We start from the raw sequence: 24,985 nt of genomic DNA, 5'->3' as shown, positions 1-24,985 counted from the left end.
TGTAGCACATTGATTGATTCGCATATGTTGAACCATCCTTGTATTCCAGAGAAAATCCCAATTGGTCATAATGAATGATCTTTCTAATGTATTGTTGAATTCAGTTTGCTAGTTTTTTTTTTTTTTTAATGGAGTCTTGCTGTGTCACCTAGGCTAGAGTGCAGTGGCGTGATCTCGGCTCACTGCAAGCTCCACCTCCCGGGTTCATGCCATTCTCCTGCCTCAGCCTCCTGAGTAGCTGGGACTACAGGCACCTGCCACCATGCCCAGCTAATTTTTTGTATTTTTAGTAGAGACGGGGTTTCACAGTGTTAGCCAGGATGGTCTCGATCTCCTGACCTACCTCGTGATCCACCCATCTTGGCCTCCCAAAGTGAGTTTGCTAGTATTTTGTTGAGATTTTTGCATTGATATTCATCAGAGATATTGGTCTGTGGTTTTCTTTTTTTGATGTGTGTTTGTCTGATTTTGGTATTAGGATAATACTGGCTTTGCAAAATGAGTTTAGAAGTAGTGTCCCCCTATTCTATTTTTCAGAATAGTTTGAGTAGTATTGGTATTAGTTCTTTAAATGTTTGTTAGAATTCAGCATTGAAGCTATCAGGTCCTGGCTATTCTCTATTGGGAGACTTTATTACAGCTTCAATCTTGTTACATGTTATTGATCTGTTCAAGTTTTGGATTTTTTCCTGGTTTAATCTTGGTAGGTTCTATATATCTAGGAATTTGTCTATTTCTTCTAGATTTTCCAACTTATTGGCATATAGTTGCTCATAGTAGCCATTAACGATCCTCTGAATTTCTGCAGCATCAATTGTAATGCCTCCTTTTTCATTTCTGATTTTATTTATTTGGATCTTCTTTCTTTTTTTTTCTAGTCTGGCTTAAAGATTTGTCAATTTTGTTAAACTTTTCAAAAAAAACACAACTTTTTGTTTCATTGATCTTTTGTATTTTTTCTCATTTCAATGTAACTTATTTCTGCTCTGATCTTTATTATTTATTTTATTCTACTACTTTTGGGTTAGGTTTGCTTTTGCTTTTCTAGTTCTTTAAGATGTATTGTTATATTGTTCATTTGAAGTGTTTCCTTTTTGTTGATATAGGTACTTATAGCTATAAACTTCCCTCTTAGTTTGCTGTATCCCATTGGTTTTGGTATGTTGTGTTTCCATTATAATTTGTTTCAAGAAATTTTTCAATTTTCTTCCTAATTTCTTCATTGATTCACTGGTTATTTAGGAACATATTGTTTAATTTTCATGTATTTTTATAGTTTCCAAAACTCCTCTCATTACTAATTTCTACTTTTATTCCATGTGGTCAGAGAAGATGCCCTAATCATCTGAATGTTTTAAAACTTGTTTTGTGACCTAATATATGGCTTATCTTTGATAATGTTCCATATGCTGAGGAAAAGTATATGTATTCTGCAGCTGTTGGATGAAATGTTCTGTAAGTATCTATTAGATACATTTGGTCTATAGTGCAGAATAAGTCTGATATTTCTTGTTGATTTTCTGTCTGGAAGATCTGTCCAATGCAGAAAGTGGAGTGTTGAAACCTTCAGCTATTATTGTATTTGGGCCTAGCTCTCTCTTTAGCTCTAATAATGTTTCCTTTATATATCTGGGTGATCCACTGTTGGGTGCATATATATTTAAAATTGTTATATCTTCTTGCTGAATTTACCCCTTTATCATTATATAGTGACCTTATTTGTCTCTTCTTATAGTTTTTTCTTGAAATCTATTTTGTCTGATATAATATAGTGACTTCTGCTCTTTTTTGGTTTCCATTGGCATGGGGTTTCTTTTTCTATTGCTTTGTTTTAAGCCTTTGTGTGTATTTGTAGGCTGTGTTTCTTGTAGGCAACATATCAATGGGTCTTGTTTTTTTTTTTAAATCTATTCAGCCGGTCTATGTCTTTTGATGGGAGAGTTTAGTCTATTTACATTCAATGTTATTACTGGTAAGTAAGGACATACTCCTGCCATTTTGTTATTTGATTTCTGGTTGTTTTTTGGTCTTCTCTTTCTTCTTTCTTTCCTTTCTATCTTCCTCTAGCAGAGGTGATTTTCTCTGATCATATAAAGTAGTTCCCGGCTTTTTATTTTTTGTGAGTCCATTGTATGTTTTTTGGTCTGAAGTTACCATGAGGCTTGAAAATGCTATCTTATAAATAACCTATTATTTTACCGAATAACAACTTAACATTATTTGCATAAACAAACAAACAAGCAAAAAGAAAACTAATAAAACTCTATGCTTTAACTTTGTCTCCTCACTTTTTAACTTTTGGTTGTTTCCATTTATATCTTATTGTACTGATGATGTCTTGAAAAGTTATTTTAGTTATTATAATTTATTGGTTATTTTTGAGTCTTTTTACTTAGGATGAAAGTAGTTTACACACCACGGTTACAGTGTTATGATATTCTTTGTTTTTCCATTTACTTACTATTACCAGTGAGTTTTGTACCTTCAGGTGATTATTTATTGCTCATTAATGTCTTTTTCTTTCTGATGGAACTACTCCCTTTAGCACGTCTGGTAGGAAAGGTCTGGTATTCATGGAATCCCTCAGGTCTTGTTTGTCTGAGAAAATACTTATTTCTCCTTCATGTTTGAAGGCTATTTCTGCCTGATATACTATTCTAGGGTGAAATATTTTTGTTTTTGTTTTTGTTTTTGTTTTCCTTCAGCACTTTAAATATGTCATGCCACTCTCTCCTGGTTTGTAAAGTTTCCCCTGAAGTTTGCTGCCAGACATATTGGACCTCCATTTTATGTTATTTGTTTCTTTTCTCTGGCTGCTCTTAGGATCCTTTATTTATCCTTGACTTTTGGGAGTTTGATTATTAAATGCCTTGAGGTAGACTTTTTTGGGTTAAATCTGCTTGGTGTTCTATAACCTTCTTGTACTAGCATATTGATATCTTTCTCTAGGTTTGGGAAGTTCTCTGGTCTTGTTCCTTTGAAAAAACATTCTACCCATATCTCTTTCTCAACCACTTCTTTAAGACCAAAAAGTCTTAGATTTGCCCTTGAGATTATTTTCTAGATCCTGTAGGCAAGCTGCATTGTTTTTTATTTTTTTAATTTTGTCTCCTCTTACTCTGTATTTTCAAATAGGCTGTTTTCACGCTCTCTAATTCTTTCTTCTGCTTGATAAATTCTGCTATTAAAGGAAAATCTGATGCATTCTTCAGTATGCCAACTGAATTTTTCAGTTCCAGAATTTCTGCTTGATTCTTTAATTATTTCAATCTCTTTGTTACATTTATGTGATAGAATTCTGAACTCCTTCTCTGTGTGATCTTGAGTTTCTTTGAGTTACTTCAATGCAGCTATTTTGAATTCTCTATTTGAAAGGTCACATATCTCTGTTTCTCCAGTATTGGTCCCTGGTGCCTTATTTAGTTCATTTGGTAAGGTCATGTTTTCCTGGACGGTGTTGACGCTAGTAGATGTTCTTTGGTGTCTGGGCATTGAAGAGTTAGGTGTTTATTGTAGTCTTCACTGTCTGGGCTTATTTGTAGCCATCCTTATTGGGAAGGCTTTCCAGATATTTGAAAAGACTTGGGTGTTGTGATCTAAGCTGTATCTGCTTTAGGAGACACCCCAGGCCCAATAATGCTGTGATTCTTGCAGACTCATAGAGGTACTGACTTGATGGTCTTGGACAAGATCTGGGAGAATTCTCTGGATTACCGGGCAGAGACTCTTGTTCTCTTTCCTTACTTTCTCCCAAACAAATGAAATCGTTCTCTCTGTTCTGAGCCACATAAAGCTGGGGGTGGAGTGACACAAGCACCACCAGCAATACAACTGGGCTGGGTCAGACCTGAATCCAACACAGCTCTGGGGCTCGCCCAAGGCCTGCTGTAACCATTCCCTGGCTACTGCCTATGTTCTCTAAAGGCCCTGGGGCTCTGCGATCATCAGGTGGTAAAGCCAACCAGGCCTGTATTCTTCTTTTCAGGATAGTGAGGTCCCCCAGGCCCCAGGTGGGTCCAGAGGTGCTATCCAAGAGTCAGGGACTAGAGTCAAAGACCTTAGAGGTCTATCTGGTGTTACTGTATTACAGCTGTGCTGGCACTCAAACCATAAGACACAGTCCTTCCCACTCTTCCCTCCCCTTTCTAAGGGCAAAGGAGCCTCTCCCTGTAGCCACCACCACCCCAGGCCACAAGGAGTACTGCTGGACTACCACCCATGTTTCCTTAAGGTCCAGGGGCACTTCAGTCAGCTCATGGTGAATGCTGCCTGGCCTGGAACTCACCCTCTAGGACAGTGGGCTCCCTGCTGGCTTCAGTCAGGTCCAGAAATGCTGTCCAAGAGTCAAGTCTTAGAATCAGGAATCCCAAGAGCCTGTTTGATGCTTTGCCCCTCTGTGGCTGTGCTGGTATCTAAGGTGCAGGACAAAGTCCCCTTTACTTCTGCCTCTGCTTTTCTCAAGCAGGAGGAGTTTTGCCCCATAGTCATTACAGCTGGGAATGGGCTGAGTTTCACTTGAAGCCAGCAAGTCTCAGAGGCTGACCCAAGGCCCTTGATGTAGTACCTGGGTATTGCTGCTCGTTATTTAGGGCCCTAGGGCTCTTCAGTTAGCAGGTGATGCATGCTCCCAGGACTTGGTCCTTTCTTTCAAGGGAGTGGGTTCCCTTCTGGCCCAGGGTGTGTTAAGAAATGTTGTCTAGGAGCTAGGGCCTGGAATGGGGGCCTCACAACTTTGACTGGTGTCCAATCCTGTTGTGGATGAGCTGGTATCCAAGATGCAAGACAAAGTCCTATCCACTTTTCCCTCTCCTCTCCTCAAGTGGAAGAAGGGGGTCTCTTTTGGAGCCACGAACTGTGGAGCCTGGGGTTAGGGGAAGGGTGATGCCAGCACTCCCTTGGCTGCCCCAGCTGGTGCCTTAGTAGGTTGCATCCACGCCACCTCCCCACCACGCCCACCCCAGTCCACTGCTTCTGGGCCTAATTCAACACTAGGACTAGTCTAAGAATTGCAGTCCTTATGGTTTAGACTGCCTTTCAAGTTTACTTGGAGTCACAGAGCACTGTAGCCCTCTGTGGTGAGATTTGCAGGCACAAGTTCTGACTGCTGGGATCCATGACTGGCTTCTGTTTAGGGCTGGTTTAAATGCACCCTCTGTGGGCAGACATCAGCTGAGTTTGACCCAGTTCTCCTTTCTGCTCTAACAGGACAACACTGAGTTCAATGCCTCAGAATTGCTGGGTTCTCCCTGCCCCAGCACCCAAAGAGGCTCTCTGCACCAGGCCACTGCTGCCAGGGGTGGGAGAGGGGTGGCGTCAGCAACTCAGGACTGTTTCTTTCTACCTCTTCAGTGCCTTTTTCAGCACTTTCTACCTTTCTACCTTTTTCAGCACTAAGAAGTTAAAACCAGGTACTATGAGTGCTCGCCTGTTTATTGGTTCTTATGAAGGTGTTTTTTTTCTGTGTAGATAGCTGTTAACTTGGTGTCCTTGTCTGGGGGAATGATCAGTGAAGCCTTCTCTAACACCATCTTGCTTCACCTCCTATTCTGCCCAGGTTTTAACGAGCCTTCTTGCTGCGGGTTGATGAGGGCCAGAATATCATGCAGATTTTAATTCTAAGAGATTAAGATGTTAAACCCTTCTATTCAGCTAGAGCACAATAAAGAGTAGTTTTTGCAATAGTAATTAGTCTTCCAAGTAAGGCAGGTACTATGGGTCTGGTGGTTGGCACCTGCTTTCCAGCTCCTATAAGAACTGTTTTGTTTGTCTTAGAGTAATAAACACAAACTGCTTTTATAACTTGAAAAAAAACTCAACAAAATCCACTGCAGCTTGAGAACAACCTGAAATTCATTGTCTTTCTATGTTATTTCCTCATTAGAGCTTTGACCTACTCATTTCTAACCCATGAGCTTCAGGTTTTTTAATCTACAAAATAGAGCCATTGCGGTAAATACCAGTCCAACAAGACCTGAGGTTAACACATCTCAGAAGAAGTAAACACCTGCCATGAGCTGCTTCTGTGCACCATTGGTATTGATGAGGGAAGGACTTAATGACCCAGAGTGAGTACAACATATCTGCATGTGGGGCATGATATTCCCCAGAGAGTTCAATAGGAAGCAACAAGCAAGCCAGAGAGAAACTGTAGTATTATACAGTCAGTTGGTAGGAATGTCAAAAGAGGCAATGAAAAAGATTTTCAGGAATGGAGACAAACCTCTGTAGGACCACAGAGAAGCTGAATGCCTTCCCTCTCTAGGGTGTACACATCTTCTTTCATTTATAGCTCACTTGTCAAGATTTTAGATGAAGCAAATTATTTTTCCTCTTTGCTAGTAAAAATCCCATAAATGCTAGCCAAGGTAATTGTTTTAGCAGTCACTCCTGCAACCCAGCTATGCTTAGGGAAATCTACCAATGATACCATTTATTGAGTACCACTGTATGATAAGCCCGCTCCATGTGTTATCTTATATGATCATCCTAATAACCCTCTGGTATAGGGGTTAGCATCTCTATTTTATGTATCAGGTATTTAGCCCCTGTGTGGTTAAGTCACATACGCAAGACCATATGCTTAGTAAACAGGACAACTGGCATTGGAAACCAGGATTGTCCTAATTAAAAGAGAATCAGGGGCCAGGGGCAGTGGCTCATGTCTGTAATCCCATCTATTTGGGAGGCTGAGGCGGGAGGATCACTTGAGGCCAGGAGTTCGAGATCAGCCTGGGCAACAAAGTAAGCATCCATCTCTACTCTCTCCTTTTCCCTCTCCTCTCCTCAAGTGGAGAATAAAGTGGAAATAAATAAATAAAAACAGAATTTAAAAAATTAGCTCAGCCTAGTGGGCATGTACCTTTAGTCCCAGATACTTGAGAGGCTGAGTTGAGAGGATCACTTGAGCCGAAGAGTTCAAGGCTAGGGTTGTGCCACTACATTCCAACCTGGGAGAAAGAATGAGGCCCTGTCTCTTAAGAGAGAGAAGAAATCAATAGTTGTGGATTTGAACCTAGTTATGGAAGAATTGTGAAGTAATTTCAGACAAAAAGTATTTCCTATTGAGAACAAATCAGTTAAGTGAAAGATAGAAGTAAGAAAAATGAACCAACATGTATTGAGTGTTCCCTCTTAACCTGCCTTTCATTCCCACAACATATCAGGCTCGTCTAGCACTCAACATTAGCACTTTCTCTGCTACATTACCTTGCCTCTCAGCAAGAAATGTGTTCTCACTTGTATTATTTTTATTCCTACCCTTTCATCTCCCTCTCCCTCCCTCCATGTCCAGTGAACTTCCCAGAAAGTTGGGCATAACAGTTATAGCAGATAATAATTCTATGTAACATTTATTGATCACTTTCCAGGTACCAGTTTCTGTGTTGAGCTCTTTATGTGGATCTTACAATTTAATCATCAAAATACCCATAAAGATGATGATATTTTATCCCCATCTTCTGGATGAGAATATTGCACCACATTTTTTCTTCTCTCCTCCTTACTTCCCAATTGCATTAAAATATTTTTCTTTGGATTCAGGGATCATGGCCTGGGGAGAAACACAGCTTTTTGTAGAAGTAAAAATGTGAACACAGATACAATTCTTCATTTTCCCCAAACACACCATGCAATGCAAAGATGCTACTTTTTGTCTGCAATGATTCTACCTATTGTTAGTTCACTGCATCCTCAGAGTCAGTGCACAGGCAGGAGAGACTGAGATTATTTAGATTCTCATAGTACAGCATATAATGAGGAAGACAGGCTAGGATGCCATGGGTGCCACATTAGTGCCTTCTTTAAGGTTCTGATATACAAGCAGCCCTGCCCCAGTTGGTTTGTATTTAAAAGAAGATCATTTATTAAGGTGCTGATATACAAACTCTGTCCCACCCGAGTTGGCTTGTGTTTAAAAGAGGATCCTGACAAGTCTACCTAAAGAAGATGAAAGAGATATTGGGGGCAGGGGACAATGGACTAGCTAATGTGCAGAAATAAACTTTACAGCTCTAGGCCAGGGCCACCATAAAACTCTTCCACACTGTGCAGCACACATTATGACGGAAACAACATGCCTTGGCTGGTGGCTTTGCTCCGTGTTCCTCAAGAGAGCTCTGGGTTGCAAACTTGCCTGCTCCCTGGCTGTCTCATCTTTTACATGTGAGGACCACAATTCCTGACCTTTGCAGTGGCTGTAAACTTTGAGACAGGAAGGCAGGATCTGCAGCTTGCCAGGGGCCTCGGAGGACTCTGGTGGCCCATGCAGCTCTATGGGCTTGGAACTTGAGCTCATTGAGGATGTCACCTACAGATAAACAAGTGACACGTCTTGAACACATTGCAAACAACTTTTAAAGGTCATCTCATCCATGCCTCTGTCTCTTCTTTGGAAGACTTCAAAATTATTTCAGAGTGAAAATGTCTCCTGTTTTCAAAAATTGCCAAATATAAATTATATGAATGAGTTTGTTTAAACAACTTAGAGGACCAAAATAAAAAATTTTCTTAAGTCTAATCAGTCGTGCTTCAGGAACATAGGATGTTTCCTCTTGTTCTGCCTTTTGGAATGGTGAAGGGTATTTCACTGACATCTTGAATCATTTAGAGGGACTTAGGATTCAATTTAATACAATAAATATTTACTGAGCTTCTACGTATCTGATACTGAAATGGGGCCGAGAGGGTCACAAAGTTGATGATCTGGGCTTCTTTCTCATCTCAAGAAGCATAATTCCCACATCACTCATGATGCAGAGTGTGGTAAATGCCACATAGTAAGGCCACAAGGAGAGGGTTTGGAGCCATTGATGTTACCTAGAATCAAATAATTCTATGGTGGAGACAAAGATACTCAGGAGAGCACCTGCATCTCATCTGGACCAAAAGGAATGGACACAACTGTCTGGATGAGCTGTGGCACAGGCATTCTGCCAAGAAGAGGAAGCTGGCAGAAGAGGCCTTGGTAAGTCTGAATTCTTGCCTCAGTTCTGGTACTGAGTTCTCCCTGCACATTACATTCCTACTGTGAACCATTCACTCCTCCCTTCCTCCATTAATTTATCTAATTGATATCTATTAAACAAATGCCTACCATGTTCTTGACCCTGAGCCACATGTGAGAGATTCACCAGGCAACAAGACAGATGGGAGGAGCCCCACTGCTATGGTCAAATGTTTGTGTTTTCCCAAAATTCGTATGTTGAAACCTAACTCCCAAAATGATGGTGTTAGAAAGTGGGACCACTGGGAGATGATTAGGTCATGAGGGATTAACATCATTATAGAAGAGACCCCAAAATGTTAGCTGGTCCTTTCACCACATGAAGACACAGCTAGAAGACACCACCTATTAACCAAAAAGTGGGCGTCAGCAGACACCAAATCTGTTGGCACTTTGTTCATGGACTCCCTAGGCTCCAGTACTGTCAGAAATAAATGTCTGTTGTTTATAAGCCACCTAGTTTATGGTATTTTGTTATAGCAAGCCAAATGGACTAAGACACCCCACCCTTGTGAAGGCGACAGAGGACTAGAAATAATGAACAAATCTGCACTGAGCATAACCCATGATGCATAGTACTGCAGAACAGTGCTGTACAGTGCTCTTCAGGGCCTCACAGGAGGTGCAGGTAATAAATGTAACAGTCTGAGATCATGTTAAAATGTTGCTCCATCCCTGCTTCATCCCTTCACTATCTGTCATCGTGTACTATTCAGGGTTTTTTCATAGTAATTATATATATTTAACATTTTATTACATTGTTTATTGCCTGTCTCTGTCATGTGAATAGAAATTCCATAAGGGCAGAATTTTTGTCTCATTCAGCACTCTATTCTCATTGCCTAAAATCATGTCTGGCACATGACAGGAACTCAAATTCCTATCTATCTATCTATCTATCTATCTATCTATCTATCTATCTATCTATCATCTATCTATCTATCTATCTATCTATCTATCTATCTATTTAGCTAGGTAGCTATTTAGCTAGGTAGCTATCTACCTACCTACCTACCTATCAATATAGCTATCCATCCATCCACCTACCTACCTACCTTCCTACCTATTTATAATCTATTTAATTCTTTATTTACTTATGATAGCCTAGAGAAGCTAATGAATTCTTAGAGGCAATTAATTATCTTAAGAGTTCAGAGAAGAAAGAAGTAAACATATGAAAAGATGCTTAATTAACATCATTAGTCATTACAAAACTGCAAATTAAAAGCACAATGAGAAACCACTATACGCCTATTAGAATGGCTAAAATTAAAAAGACTAGCCATACCAAATACTGCAACAAGTGGAACTCTCAAACATTGCTAGTGGAAGTGTAAAATGATACAACCACTTTAATGATACAACCACTTTGGAAAATGTAGTTGTATCATTTTGGTACTTACTTAAAAAGTTAATCATATATTTACCATAAGATCCAGCTATTTAACTTCTAGGCATTTACCCAAGAGAAATGAAAGCATATGTCCACATGCTATGGTGTAAATGTATTCCCCTAAATTCATGTGTTAGAGATGGAGGTGAGAGGATCACTTGAGGCCAGGAGTTCAAGACCAGCCCGGGCAGCATGGCAGGACCTTACTTCTACAAAACAATTTTAAAAGTAGCTGGGCATGATGACACATGCTTGTGGTCCCAGCTACTCAGGAGGATAAGGTGGAAGGATCACTTGAGCACCAGAGTTGGAGGCTGCAGTGAGCTATGAATGTGCCACTGCACCCAAGCCTGGGTGACAGAGTAAGACACTGTCTCTAAAAAGAAGAAACACAGAAACTTAATTTACAATGCAACAGTGTTGGGAGGGGGAGTCTTTTGGGAGGTGTTTAGCTCATGAGTGGTCTGCCTCATGAATAGGTTAATGCCCTTACAAAAGGACTTGACAGAGGAAAGTTAGCCTCTTTTTACTCTTCCTCCTTCTTCCACATGAGGACACAGCGTTCCTCCCTTCCTGAAGACACAGCATTCAAGGTTCCAGCTTGGAAACAGACAGTAGCCTTCACCAGATGCTGGTGTCTTTATCTTGGACTTCTCAGCCTTGAGAACTGTGAGAAATGAATTTCTGTTGTTTATAAATTACCCATTCTCAGGTGTTCTGTAACAGCAGCATAGACTAAGACACGACACTAAGATTTATACATGGATGTTCATAGCAGCCTTGTTTGTAATAATAAAAAACTAGGAACAACCCAAATGTCCATCAGCGGTTATAAACAAACTGTAGCGCATCCATGCAATGGAACACTGCTCAGCAATTAAAAGGAATGCATGACTGTGTGAATGAAGCCAGAACAACAAAAACTGTGCAAACTGTATGACTTCATTTACATAAAATTCTAGGACATGGAAACCAATCAAGAGTGACAGAAAGATCAGTGGTTGCCTAGGGGCTAGTGTCAGGGCTGCAGAGAGGGACAGAGAGGTGCCACAAAAGGAAACTTTTGGAGACAGTGAACATGTTCATCATCTCAATCATGGTGATGGTTTCACAGTTATATATTTATACAAAAAAATTGAATTGTAAATTTTGAATACATGCAGTTTATGTGTGTTATTTATACATCAATTAAAAATGAAAAAAATAAAAGCTACGCTTTTGGCAATTTAAAAATTTCAACGTTGCTCTGTGAATATGCAAGTCCGGCAAGACATTTACGTGTCTTATAGATTAGACTGTAATGATAAGGCATCTACTTCCACCTGGAAGAAGTTTTAAGAAGAATGCTAGTTAATGTGTATTGAGAATTTGTTATGTGTCTACAGGCAGGCTATGTATATACACTATGTGAGTTAGGCCCCAAAACAATTGTGAGGTGGTTCCTATTATTATCTCCATTTTCAGTTGATAAAATTGAGGCTCAGGAAATTTAATAACTTGCCAAAGACCTCAGGACTGCTAACTGGTATAATAAAAATTTGAAAACAGGCTCATTTGATAGTTGAATTGAGCCTCTTAATTTCTATGCTATTGGTAATAGGTACTTAGTTTTTAGAGAAATTTAGAATGGGTTGGAGGGGTTTTGGAAGGAGACAGTTGAGTCTAGTGCTAAGTATTTACTAGGTATTAGTAAAATACTTAGTTCAAATATTAATTTTGCAAATCTAAAGTATAAAGCAATGTGTTGTGATTCTATACTTAGAAATTCTTAAAACTGTCCTCTTATATATTTCAAATTTGACCTCTTTCTTCCATCTCTACCTCTATACAAAAAAATAAATGCCGTCATAACCAGTGCCACCATAACTTCTTGCCTGGATAATTGCTCAGCCTCCGGCTGGTGTTCCTTGCTTATATGTTCCACATAGCAGCCAGGATGATCATCTGAAACCTGAAATAATATCTTATCACTTTCTTTCTGAAAGCCATCTAGTTTTTTTAGGACATTTAAAATAAAATCCAAACTTCTAATCCTAATTTTACTATGTACTTCTTTTGAAAACCCCAAATGACAGTCTCGCTCTGTTGCCCAGGTTGGAATGCAGTGGCTATTCACAGATGCAGTTGAAAAGCACTGCAGCCTTGAACTTCTGGCCTCAAGGGATCCTCCACCTCAGCCTCCCATGAACTGGGACTGTAGGCACACAATACCATGGTGGGCTTCCTACATACTCTTCTCTGATCTTGTCTTCTGCCATGCTCTCCCAGACTCTCTACTCTTAGTGTTACTAACCTTCTTTCTGTTTCCCAAACACATAAAATGAGTTCTGCTATGGTTTGAATGTGTCCTCTCCAAAATCTTGTGTTGCCAATGTAATAATATTAAGAAATGTAACCTTTAAGAGGTGATTAGGCAATGAGGGCTCCTTCCTCATGAATGGGATTAGGTGCTCTTCTAAAAAAAGCTTGAGAGAGGGAGTGCAGTTTGTACCCTTTTCCCTTCTTCCTTCAGCCATGTAAGGACACAGCATCCCCCGCCCCAGCACAGAGACTGCAACATTCAAGGTGCCATCTTGGAAACAGAGGCCAGACCCTCACCAATGAACATGCTGGTGTCTGACCTTAGACTTCCCAGCCTCCAGAACTGGGAGAAACAAATTTCTATTCATTATATATTAACCAGTCTGTAGTATTCTGTTACGGCAGCACAGAATGGACTAAGACAGGTTCCCATCTCATGCCTTTTGTACCTGACATCTTCTCTTCCTGAAATGTTGATCCTTTAGGTTTCTGTATAGTTCACTCTTTCTCATTCTGGGTTCATCCCAATGTCGGATCTTGCATAACTACCCCAAGTAAAGCAGTCCCACCGTTGGCCCTGTAGCTCTGTTTTCTATTACATTACTAAATTTTGTTAATTTTCATAGCACTTACTACTATCTGAAATAGTCTTATATATTTATTTGATTATATCTATCTGTCTCACCTCAATATGTTTTCTGTTCATAGGACAAAAAATGTGTCAGTCTTTCTTTACCACTGTAACCCCAGAGCTTAGAAGAATGCTGGGCACACAATAAGCGCTTAATAACTATTGAGGAACTATACTGACTGCACGAATAATAAGTGGTCTGTGATGAGATGTAATCCCAAACTTTGCCAATAGGTGTTATAGTCCAGCAACCAACAGTTGCAGACATTAATATGCCAACCTGGATGGTTGCTACCACCCATGTGTCAGAGTCTATGTTAATAATTTATTTCTTAATTTTTAAATTAAAAATTCCATATAGTGAATGGCACCACAGGGACAAGCCTTGTAAATATGATGTGACATCCAAATCACAGAATTCCCTCTGATTCAGTAGGCCCAAACTCACCATCTGAACTGCTTTATTTTTAGGGTTGCATGAACTCAGCCTGGCCTCAGGGCTGGGGTAAATATTATCTAGCAACACCTTTCCTTATTTCCCTACATTCTCTCTCTTTAAACATTTCCTCTATAATGATTTGTTTGGGAAATCACCTCAGCCTAAACTCTAGTTGAATATTCACAATTGCTTCTGAGCACCACAAATCATTTGCTTCCTTGGTGCTATTCTGAGGATGGAGCTTCATAGCGCCACTCTTTGGATTACTGAACCTGCCAACTCTCCCTTCTGGTTGCCAAGAATTAGCAGTATCAATAAATACTCAGAAAAGTCTGCCATAAATAAGCCAAGTTCCTACCCATTATAATCAATAAATAAATTATGGTGGTGCCAGGCAGTAGCCCATCTTGTTAGGAGGTCTGTCTACAGTTTTTTTTTAGAGCCCAGGTTTTAGGTGGCTCTTCTTGGTGGTGGGCAAGAAGCACTGGGAAGAAGCCTAGATCAGAAGGTTGATGGGGTCAGAAATAAATGGACTGACCTGTCTCTGAATGATGAAGCATTTCTTTGAAAATCTTTCTTTGTGAGGGCTGTTTCCAAGCTGCACAGAAACAGGAAACAAAAGAATTTTCCTTTTTATTTTCTTAACAAACAAACTATTCCTTGGCTGTCTCTTTGTAGATGGGTGCCGTTGACAACACAGAGAGAAGAGAGAACCTAAACAATGAAACAAGTCCCCTGCCCACGTGCTGTCAGACACTGGAGAAAAGAACAAAACCAAAGAAAAGCCACTGAGCAAACACAATGGCCTTGTCTTCTACCTTTCTTGTGGCACAATGCAGGACTGGACAGCACTGTCCTCCCCATCCCATCTCCTTCCCTCCCTCTACTCTCACCCCCCTCCACCAGCCTTCCTGCTCCCAAAGCACGTTACTGACTAGCAGCTTGCCAGTCCAGATTGTAGTTTTAATCCACCAACTAGTATTGCAGCTCATAGAATGGCTTTGGATTTATGAAACAGGCTGAGGGGAAATAAAGTACCCTAGTTTGTAGATAATAAAAGCTAAGAGTGGTGCATCCAGGGAGAGAGGTGGGGTGCCAGGGGTTCTTAGGAAGGTAGTGGTACCACCTACTGCCAGAGTCTCTTTTGAATTGGCTTTATCCAGGAGTCCCAAAAGCCCTTTAAACTACTTCATGGTAGCCTTTGACAGAGAACTCTTTGGCAGTGACTTGGAGAGGGTTTATGAAGACAGTGCTCAGGCTTTGGTCATGACACAGGCAGATTGGGGATGGAGTGGTACATGTTTGATTACAGTGTGTGTTGAGGGGCAAGGGGGCAGGTCTTGGTACAATGACAACTAGCACGAGACCTTGAACTCAACATGGATTTTAAAAGTGTTTGTTTAATGCATGAATAAAACAATGCTCATGATATTTTGTGGTCTTTAGTGACCAATCATAGTAGACGTCTTAGAATTACCAAGCCCTAAGGAATACTAAAACCCAGTCTAATAAACTCAGTAAAACCAAGAGTGGACTCTAATGTAAACTGTGGACTTTTGGATGTACCTCTCTGGTGGGGAATGTTGATAATGGAGGAGGCTAGGCTTGTGTGGGGGTGGCGAACACATGGAAAATCTCTGTATCTTTTGCTTATTTTTCTGTGAACCTAAAACTGATCTAAAAAAAAGTATATAAAAAATTCATAGCCACATAAATTGGCAGTCAGATCTGGTGATTCAGCTGAACCTTTATCTAAGCATATAGAAAAGAACACATATTTTCTGATGTTTGAAAAAATTGCTGTTTTACCTTGAAACTAATAAAACAAAATTGGCACAACTTATTTTTTAAATGCAGTAAAAATACTTAGTCTGTCCTACAGCCTATATTCATCTACTGTGGACATCATTTCCTCGCCATGAAATTTCCGTGGAATCTATAGGAGGCAAACCTGGGATTAAAGCCTGAATTTGCCATTTAATAATGAGAAAACCTTGGAAAAGTAAGTTAAACTTTTGTGGCCTGTTTTCTCACCCACACGATGGAGATAGTCTACATATTCTCAAAGGGCAGGGGTAATGCCTCTGAGAGCCTGTGGGAAAGTGGTTTGCAAATTACACAGTGATACACAGACACTAGTTGTTATTTTGTTCCATTTGCTCTTTTTGGCTTTTGGACAAATGTTGCCTTTGAGTATAATGAATTTAGTGTTCAGATAAGCTTTCTCCCCTCCCGTGCAGGGTGGCAGGGGTTACATGTGGGTTTCTGGGCTCGATAGAACATTGGAGGGACAGGAGATGGCTGTCCCAGGGCCCCTTCCAGAGCACATTGTAGAGCTGGATCAGTAGGCATAGTTCAGGAGAAGGGCAAGTTTAGGTTTTAGTTGTGACTTTACATTGGTACTTAAAACAAGCATAGTATCAGTTGCTTGATATTCGTGTCTGTGTGTGTGCTTCCTATAAAACTCAAACAAAATACAGTCAAAAAATGGCACTGGCTCACAAACCCGGAACATTATGAAATCAGATAGCAGGTCTAATGAGAACTAGAGTGAATCAAATGAGCAGCATTCCTTTAAGATTGATTTCCATAAAACTTGGGAGGACGAGGGTTTCAGGAAAAGAGAGGCAGGGTAAGCTGGGAGTGGGAAGGAAAAGGAGTTTGGTGGGACCAAAGCAGTGACCATAGCATGTCCAGAGGCATCCTCTAGACGTAGTTATAATGGGCAAAGGCAGCAGATTGGAAGAGGCATTTAGAGGAGAAAGGGCCAGTTTTCTAAACAAGGCAAAAATAAAAATAAAAAATAAAATAAAAATAAAACAAAACACCTTGCAACTTAAGAATCACGAAATAAGTTGATGTATGACTCACACTTGACTTGTGTTTTCCACATGGCTACAGGGAATCAGCACACAGTCAGCTTCACTCAGCAACCCTGAGTTTTGTGTACGCTTATCAAACAAAACTTTTCTCTTTATAAAAAATCCATACTGCGCCTAAACTCAGTCTGGGCCCAGGGCCAGCTGAGCCCATCTTTGTGGCCCAGAATATCCAGGGCCTGTGAGCTCTCCAGGCATCATCTGCAGGACCCAGGCTTCCTGGAGGAAACATGCCCAGCTCTGAGGGTTCTAGTGTTGCCTGTTCTCTTTCTTGCTTCACAAGCTTAGAAATGCACAGTAAAGAAGCATAGAAAAACAGAGTGAAATGTCTGGAAGGGATTTTAGGGATTATTCAGTCCATTGTCTTTAGAGACGAAAAAAAAAAGAAGGCTAGAAAGGAGAAGCAGCATGCTCTGGATAGGGCCACAGTTAGACTTGAACTTGACTCTCAACTTCTAGTCCTGTGAGCTTCAGACAATGAGGAGGGCTGTCACTCTAGTTCTTTCTCAGAGAGCACAAAGTGATTAATTTTCATCTGACTCATTTCACTCAGCAAGCATTTCCTGTGTTCTTCCATCAGGTCTGTCTATCTGGATGACTGTCAGTCCAGCAGAGACATAGAAATGTGCCATAAATAACCGAATGCATCACAAAAACAGAACAGGAGCTACGAGTGTTACTGAAGGCTTGATTTGAGTTCTCACCTGAGAAACGGACACCCCCTAGCCCACTCCCACAGTTCACACTGGTTCTTCTACCTACAAGCCGAGTCTTCACTTTCTTAAAAGGGGACGTGGACATGAATTGACTAGGCCACACATTTATCAATTTGAAGCCATTACTTTGCTTCACAGATGTAGAAGCCCCATTTCTCGACAAAGAAGAGGAAAGAAAGAGGAAAAATGAAGGAATAAATGATAGAAGTAAAGAAAAATGTAAATAAACTTTCTCGTCTACACAGAATAAAAGGATCCAGTCTAGCCAACTAGACAAAAGTTAGTTTCTCAATACTAACATGCCTGGTGCCTCTCTTCTGTTTCCAGCCCTGGAATAATAAGTTTCACTTTTTCATTTCTTCACCCAAAATAAAACTTGAACTGCTCACTTCCTCATCTTTTCATTTGCAGATCTCAAAAGCAGCCTCTTCCACATCTACCCTTGGGGCATGTCTGGCCCACTCCCCTACAGCCTTGAATGTCACAAGAAGTTCTTAAATGTGTTCAGTTGCAAATATATTTTACCACTTTATTTGCAGCTCCCGCACATTCTTGGATCTCAAAAGCCACTTTAGCATCAACTAGGGGCTGTTCTGAGGTCCGGACAGCTGTTGCAAGGTGGTATCATAGGTTCTCAAGCCCTAGCTAAGAGTAACTTAACAGCAAGTAATCATTCCATGATGCTGAATCTCACCTGTTAGGTACATGCCACACTGCCATCCCTGACTTCAGAGTGTGGCTTTCTCTCCTGCATTATTAAGGTAGAAAGACATTATTTGAGATGAACTATAAATGTATATATATAAATTTATCTCTGTGCTTGTTATTTTTTAGCTTCCGAGTTTCTTATCCTCAGCTGTCAACTCCTAACCAACATGGTACTGTCAGCCCTAACCTGAGATGCCAAGCAATATGGCTTTTCCAACTTGGTGATTCCTCATGCCCTGACATCAGTGGTTCTCAGGCCATATACTTTCTCTGCCTAGCTGGATCTCCCTTTCACTTCACATTTCACTAGATCTCACCTTCTCCTTTGTTTGCATCTCACTTCTCCCCAGATCCCCATTGCATTGCATCCATTCATTCATCCATTCATCACTTAGTATTTACTGAGGTCAGACACTGTGAAAGCACTGCAGGGTTTGTACAGAAGCATAAGACACTGTGCCTAGGGTCAAAGAGCCTCCAGTTCAGTAGGAGGAATCAGATAAGCACAGAAGTAATTATGATACTAGGGAAAATGTGACCATTGCCTTCCAAAATGGGCATAAAGTCATATGGGAAGGAGAAGCATGTTGGTTTGGATGAAGGGAGGGGACATTTGAGGTAGTTCTCATACAGTGTGTAAGACTATAGGTAGAGCTGTTAAGAAGATATCTATGCTTGCAGAATGTACAGGAACATAGCCAGTGAAGTAGAAGTGTGGCGTATATGTAGTGACTTCTCAAGCATGCTTCTTCAGGTAGGGTGCTACAGGCTGCAAGTAACACAAAAACCCAACAGACAGTTCCTTCTACCTGGGGTACCATATCGACACATTCACTTTCCCACCAGGAGTTCCCAAAGTGTTCCGTGTATCCCAGCCACATGCAATCATTGCACTTATTTTATTGTTTGCCTCCTCCACTTAACTATGCTCATGTGGACAGCAGGGGCTATTCTACTTCTTCCCTATTGTGTATGCCTAGCACAGCACCTGGCCTACATTAGATGCCCAGTATATATTTGTTGAACTGAATAAATATTTGGTGAGTGAATGAATGGATGAGTAGGGGAAAATGAGGCTAGGGGCTTTAGGTGGAGGAAGTGCCATTTAGATGAGTCCCATAAGGTGCATAGGTAGATTTGTTCCTCTTCTTTCCTTTGCTTCTGTGATCTGAACATTGACAAAACTCCACACTAGATTATGGGGTAGCTCATGCCAGGCAGCTCAGCATTACCTTTAGTAAGCTCAGGCAGCAGGGACAGGCAAGCCATTTCCAGGATGTAATTTGATACGATGTGAATGAGGAGTGAGGAAAGGCTAGAATAGAACGAGAGAGAAAGAGAAATCCCCTTGGAAAAATTGATGAAATATTCTTGGCTACTTATTGGAATCTCTGATATGTTATTCTATATCTTTATCCTCACCCTCACCTTGATAATCCACAGTTTTTAATTCTAGGTGAAAACTCACAGTGAATTGATCATAGCCATGGATTCAGTGAGGTTGAATATCTTTATGTTGGTAAAATCTTCTTTCTCTTGATGCGCCATCATCAAGAATGTACAGCCAATAAAGTCACTTTGAAATGTTTATTAAACTCACATTTCCGTCTTAACTAAATAGACTGCAGCCAGTGGGGCTATAATTATAACACACCGAGCAAAAATGAGGGCCCCAGCTCCTTGAGAAGGGAACATCAGTACCTTCATTTTGAACTGTGTGGTGTGCTCTTATCCCCATGTTCAATCCCAAATTACTTACACCACTAAGTCCGGGGAAAGCAATGACATAAGAAACTCAAAAGAACAGCTTCCCTTCTCTCCTCTTCCGGATTAGCCACTTTCAGTATCCAGGGAGTTAAGGAATGCTATGCATATGTGAGAGCCAAGACTGTGTCCAGAGTAACCTAGCATTGTGTGATGGATAAGAACCCAGGCTCTGTAGCCAGACTGAGCCTGAGTTTAAATCCTGACTCTGCAACTTATGAACTTGCGATGTGGGGCAAATGACTTTCAAAATCTCTTTGAGCCTGCATTTCTTTCTCTGTAATATGAGAGTAATACTAGCACTTACTTCATGGGGCTGTTGTGAGGAGTAGAAGCCATCATGGGTATAGAGCCAAATGAAAGGTGCCTGTTACAGAGTTAGCATTCAATAAATATTATCTTTTATTATTATCATTGGTCTCACTGTCCAGCCCTGCTTCTTTGGCAACAAGAGGGGGTGAAAAAAGAGGCTTCTTGGAGAAAATGAATGCTTTTATTCCACACAGAGCTACAAATATTCAGTCCTCAAAAAATGTCATCCCAGAAAAAGAAAAGGACAAACAAAGCCACCACCAGAGAGTGAAGCTGATTTGTTTTAAAAAGAATCTTAGGATTGGAGAAGAAAACCAAATCTGCTCCATGAAATTGAGCTACAGATAATAAAAGTGTCAGCGGGGGACAGTGGTCAGAATACTGACTCTGTTGAAAAAAATTCATCATAGTTCAGAAAAATATATATTCAGGCACCTTGTCACTGTGCATCTCATCCCTCAGTGTCACCCCAGCAGCGGATCTGCTTTGTTTACTGATAACAAAAAGAGTAAAGAAAAGAACAAAGTTTGTATTATCTCTAAGCTGAGCGCCGTGGGGCCAATATAGCTGTCCATGGAAGGCTGCCCCAGCACCTCGTTCCCAGCCTCCTGCATCATCAGCTGAATCGACAGCTGAGTGCAAACTTCATTGTTCCTTCCAGCCCCTGCGATGAGTTGCAGAGAGAGGAAAAGAGGACTCTTAGTTCAACAGAAGGGCCAAACACTCCCACCAAAGCTTCCCTCCTTCCTGCAATTATGAATGTTCTTGCAGACCCAGCCACAGGGAAGCTGGCAGCCCAGGCAAAGGGGCAAGGTGGTGGCACAGATATAGAGAAGTCCAGAGAACCTGCCCAGGTGAGTGCAGGTTGAGGAGCATGCCCCTGCTCTTTTGTGAGTCACAGCACCTTTGGCAACCCATCAGAGCACTGGTCACCCTGCAGGGGGAGAATGACCTCCTGAGGCATGTATATCTCCTACCCCTGCCTCCCTGTCTAACCTGCTTTGGTACTCATGCAGCCTAGTGCAGTGTCTGGCACATAGCAGGCTCTCCAGGCAGAGTTAATGAACCAACTGAACAGAACTGAAGGACAATAGGTGGGTATGAGGAAAAATGGAGCAGGGGTGTGTTTCCTCTGAATTTTTTTGAGGTGGAAATGCTGCCAATTGACACCTGTGAGGAAGAAGAGAAAGGCAGCTTTTAGTCTTTAGTGTGTATCAGGATCACCTGGGGTGCTTTTGAAAATGCAAATAACTAGTCTCCATTCCATCCCAGGCCCACAGATCACATTCTCCTGAGTATGAGGTCTAGGAATCAGATTTATATTTTTTTAATTGCTTACAAGCCACCCCCAGGTTAAAGTGTTGCATTGAGAACCTGAGGAGTCAGGCATAGATCTACACTTAGCTGCCAAAAGCTCAGTTTCCTCTGGAGTGTCCAATCAGCAGAGAGGTTAGATTTGGAATTAAGCAGAGATAGGACAGATAACAAGATACTTGCAGAAGGACTAAACTATTTTCCTCATGGGTTTTGTTTCACTTATAAGAGCCCAATGCCCCTGAATATTTCAGTTATCAGGAGTAAACTGATCAACAGCAGAGTCCTAGAATCCTCCATCCAGACCAGCCACATTGCCGTTGGCTCCTTTGACAACCTGACCTAAGGGGCTCCTTTGAGCCAACCTGACCGTTGGCTCCTTTGACAACCTGACCTAAGGGGGTGATGCAACCACAGCCCCATGAATAGAAGACTCTGACTTCCTGATTTGTGTGTATGTGTGTGTGTGTGTGTGTGTGCATGTGCATTTGTGTATGGTGAAAAATTGCATAGCGTCATGTGCGTATGAACACTGCACTTCCAAAATCTCCACGCAAAAATATCTATGCTCATCTCAATCCAGAGCCCTCAACACGAGTCTCCCTTTGAATTCTTATCTCTAGTGTATTGCCTTCCCTGGACGGGCCTAGCCTAGAAAACAATTCTGGCTGAGTTCTTCCTCAGTGACTGGAAGCTCAGTTAAGAAGCTCAGGATTTAGGGAACTTTTCTCTGTAAAAGGCCAGAGAGCAAATAATTAGGGCTGTATTGGCCATACCATCTCTGTGCAATTACTCCACTCTACCCGTGAAATCTGAATTTCATATAATTAGTATGTGTCTTCTTCTTTTGGTTTGTATCCAACCATTTAAAAAACTATTCTTATCTTGCTGGCCATATCATAACAGGCACAGCTCAAGAAGGCACTGAAGAGGGTTTGTGGGGACTCCCAGAATCTGGAACCCAGGGTAAGACTTGTATTCCTACAGAAGAAAAGAACCATGCAGATGGGTGGGGGTGGATGAGGATGAACAAACAGTTTTAAATGTTTCACGGATGCTTGCAAGTATGGTGTCTGTTAAAAGCATCTGGCAAACCCCAGAAAAGGCTCTTGATTGTGCTGGCTGGAACCTATTCACATGGTAATGCTTTTTTAGGATATTAAAGAAGAGGCAGTATTCAGGAAGGAAAAATACTTAGGAAGAAGAAAACAATTAGTTTCTATTCCGGCAATAGGATTATCATTTGAGAGAGACAGAGAGGGAGAGAGAAAAATGGAGACAGGGAAAAGAAAGCACTTTTTCTTCCCATCTAAGTGTAGATATATGTGGGTCTAGTATTACTTTCAAATCACCCCCAACAGATTTTTTTTCTTGCTCTATGGTCATTGTCTGGTTCAGAAATTCCTCTCAATTGTTCAACTCACGTGGAAATAATTTTTCTTCCCATGTATTCCTCCCAAATCCCTTTAAAACCCATTGTGGCTGGGAACCAAGACATCAAAAAGCACACAACCTCAAAGAAAGGAAGAATGTGAGGCACCTGGGGTGTGCACCATTATCTGTGTGTGAAGTGCAAGAGTGCGTCCTGACTCCATCTGCTGCAAAAATGTTGGGGATGTTACAGCCGTCTTTCCGAATATACTACATTGGGGCTGTGGGGAAGACTGAGGCACCAACTCACAGGGAAAGATGAGTGGTGCTGATCAGAGCATATACCTGGGAAGCAGACATCATTTCCTTCCCTTTGCACCAGTTCCTGGCCTGCTGCTTCAGATCTGCTTTGGTTCAAAAGTCCTGTGTTCCTATTTCACCAACATTTGTTTAGCTGAGCCCGGAGCTAGCAAAATCCTATAGAATCTGCTAGGAAAGTCCTACAGAAGTAAAGGGCTCCTCCTCCTCCACACAGTCCGATGCCTTGAGATATCTCACTGCTCCCTTGCTTCACAAGTTGTCACCAGGGCCACTACTGATGGTTATGCAGATTTTTGCCCTGTCCCGATGCATCTTGCTGAGGTGGGGAGGGATGGCTGAAGTCCAGTCCGCATTCTGTTTATCAAGCTGTGAACCATAAGGGCTGTGTCTGATCCCCCCTCCTCCATCTCTTTTCCCAGAAAGGGCCACTCTTTTCTTGGCATCAACATTTTATCTGGCCACTTAGTGCGGCTGAGTGACTATCACTGCCCAGAGGGACACCCTTTTTCTGATTCACCCAAAGACACTGTGCAGGTTCACACTGGCCCTGGGAATCCACTTCAGGACCATTACCCCAGGGCGTTCATCACCCCCATTATTTATCTATCCTTATGCATCTCAGGATAATGAGAGCAAGTTATAGATCTTTGCAGAAACAGGAGAGGTATACTGGATGGTCTGAATCCACCCAGAAGACAAATGCAGGCAGGTGCTCACCACCAGCCAGAGGTCCCTAATGTCTCAAGACAGCAACAGATTAAAACCACTTGTAGGCTAAACAACGTGCTTCACTTCTCTTTCTGGCTCTGGAAGTCTGTAGTATCTGAAGCAAGTCCACTGCAGACCCTATCCTAGCAGTTTGCCTTGTGATAATTAAGCCACATAGCTGGCTTGCTCAGTCCAGGCATCAAAGGCACACAAAGCTCTCTCACACCTGGAGCAACACAGTTGGCAGAGTCTGGAGCCCCTAGAGAGTATGGTTTCTGCTCAGCTTTCTTTCCCCTGAGGTCTTGGGTTGCCTTCATTTTAATCCAATTAAAGAAAAGAAAAATCAGTAAGTTTTTAGCACTAGTGGAAAAGGGCTCTATTGACAGCAGCTTAATCATTGTGCTAAGAGAGGTTAATTTCCACCCTTGGTCTTTAACAGGCCTGGTACTGGATATGAATTTTTCAGTTGATGCAACACTCAGGTCACCTGGCTGCCCATTTTAATCAGAAGGCTTCCCCAGCTCTAATTTTTATGTTTCTAACTGCTCACCCAGCCTTCTTCTCTGGAGGCTGAAGTCATATGAACTGCAAGACAGATTCTTCCCATGCAGAGCTTTCATGAGGGAATCCATCCTGCTCTCAGCCTTCTCCTCCTACCCCAACTCTAAACACACATATACAGTACTTGCTCACTTAATTACAGGGATGTGTTCTGAGAAATGCATTGTTAGGTGATTTCATTGTTATGTGAACATCATAGAGTGTATGCCCACAAACCTAGATGGCAGAGCCTACTACACACGTAGGCTGTGTGGCATAGCCTATGCTCCTAGGCTATAAATCTATACAGCATGTTACTCTACTGGATACTGTAGGCAACTGTAACACAACGGTAAGTATTCATGTATCTAAGTGTATATAAACATAGAAAAGGTACACCTGTTATCCCAGCACTTTGGGAGACCGAGGTGGGCAGATCATGAGGTCAGGAATTTGAGACCAGCCTGGCCAACATGGTGAAAACCCGTCTCTACTAAAAATACAAAAATTAGCCAGGTATGGTGGCACATGCCTGTAGTCCCAGCTACTCGGGAGGCTGAGGCAGGAGAATTGCTTGAACCCAGGAG

The 24,985-nt window shown here is 41.5% G+C and overlaps 1 long non-coding RNA gene across 1 annotated transcript, besides 7 other annotated features; it reads left to right on the top strand.

Annotated features, from left to right (window-relative positions):
• Window positions 1-7,596: 7,596 nt before the first annotated feature.
• Window positions 7,597-15,604, top strand: LINC01735 (long intergenic non-protein coding RNA 1735). The gene is made up of 2 exons (XR_001738430.2): window positions 7,597-9,629; window positions 14,444-15,604. It is a non-coding gene; the product is annotated as a long intergenic non-protein coding RNA 1735 (long non-coding RNA).
• Window positions 8,776-8,945: an enhancer, noted in NCBI's record as "experimental_2030 CRE fragment used in MPRA reporter constructs". NCBI's record gives its function as "activates a minimal promoter by MPRAs in K562 erythroleukemia cells, with activity observed for the introgressed 1:208786204 variant allele {active_cell/tissue: K562}" and the evidence as "EXISTENCE:reporter gene assay evidence [ECO:0000049][PMID:34662402]".
• Window positions 8,776-9,015: a biological region, named in NCBI's record as "Neanderthal introgressed variant-containing enhancers experimental_2023 and experimental_2030".
• Window positions 8,846-9,015: an enhancer, noted in NCBI's record as "experimental_2023 CRE fragment used in MPRA reporter constructs". NCBI's record gives its function as "activates a minimal promoter by MPRAs in K562 erythroleukemia cells, with activity observed for the non-introgressed 1:208786134 variant allele {active_cell/tissue: K562}" and the evidence as "EXISTENCE:reporter gene assay evidence [ECO:0000049][PMID:34662402]".
• Window positions 13,473-13,642: an enhancer, noted in NCBI's record as "experimental_1994 CRE fragment used in MPRA reporter constructs". NCBI's record gives its function as "activates a minimal promoter by MPRAs in K562 erythroleukemia cells, with activity observed for the non-introgressed 1:208781507 or rs1417077 variant allele {active_cell/tissue: K562}" and the evidence as "EXISTENCE:reporter gene assay evidence [ECO:0000049][PMID:34662402]".
• Window position 13,557: a transcriptional cis regulatory region, noted in NCBI's record as "Neanderthal adaptively introgressed variant 1:208781507 (GRCh37/hg19 assembly coordinates) or rs1417077 in the experimental_1994 CRE". NCBI's record gives its function as "modulates activity of the experimental_1994 enhancer by MPRAs in K562 erythroleukemia cells {active_cell/tissue: K562}" and the evidence as "EXISTENCE:reporter gene assay evidence [ECO:0000049][PMID:34662402]".
• Window positions 17,374-17,423: an enhancer, noted in NCBI's record as "active region_2463". NCBI's record gives its function as "activates an Ori minimal core promoter by ATAC-STARR-seq in GM12878 lymphoblastoid cells {active_cell/tissue: GM12878}" and the evidence as "EXISTENCE:reporter gene assay evidence [ECO:0000049][PMID:35858748]".
• Window positions 20,417-20,917: an enhancer, noted in NCBI's record as "H3K4me1 hESC enhancer chr1:208774147-208774647 (GRCh37/hg19 assembly coordinates)". NCBI's record gives its function as "activates a minimal SCP1, AML or CMV promoter by ChIP-STARR-seq in primed H9 embryonic stem cells {active_cell/tissue: H9 hESC(primed)}" and the evidence as "EXISTENCE:reporter gene assay evidence [ECO:0000049][PMID:30033119]".

The sequence above is a fragment of the Homo sapiens genome, chromosome 1 (genome assembly GCF_000001405.40).
Source record: "Homo sapiens chromosome 1, GRCh38.p14 Primary Assembly".
Taxonomy (NCBI): domain Eukaryota; kingdom Metazoa; phylum Chordata; class Mammalia; order Primates; family Hominidae; genus Homo; species Homo sapiens.
The sequence above is the reverse complement of the archived record's forward strand: the minus strand, read 5'-3'. Positions and strand labels throughout refer to the sequence as shown.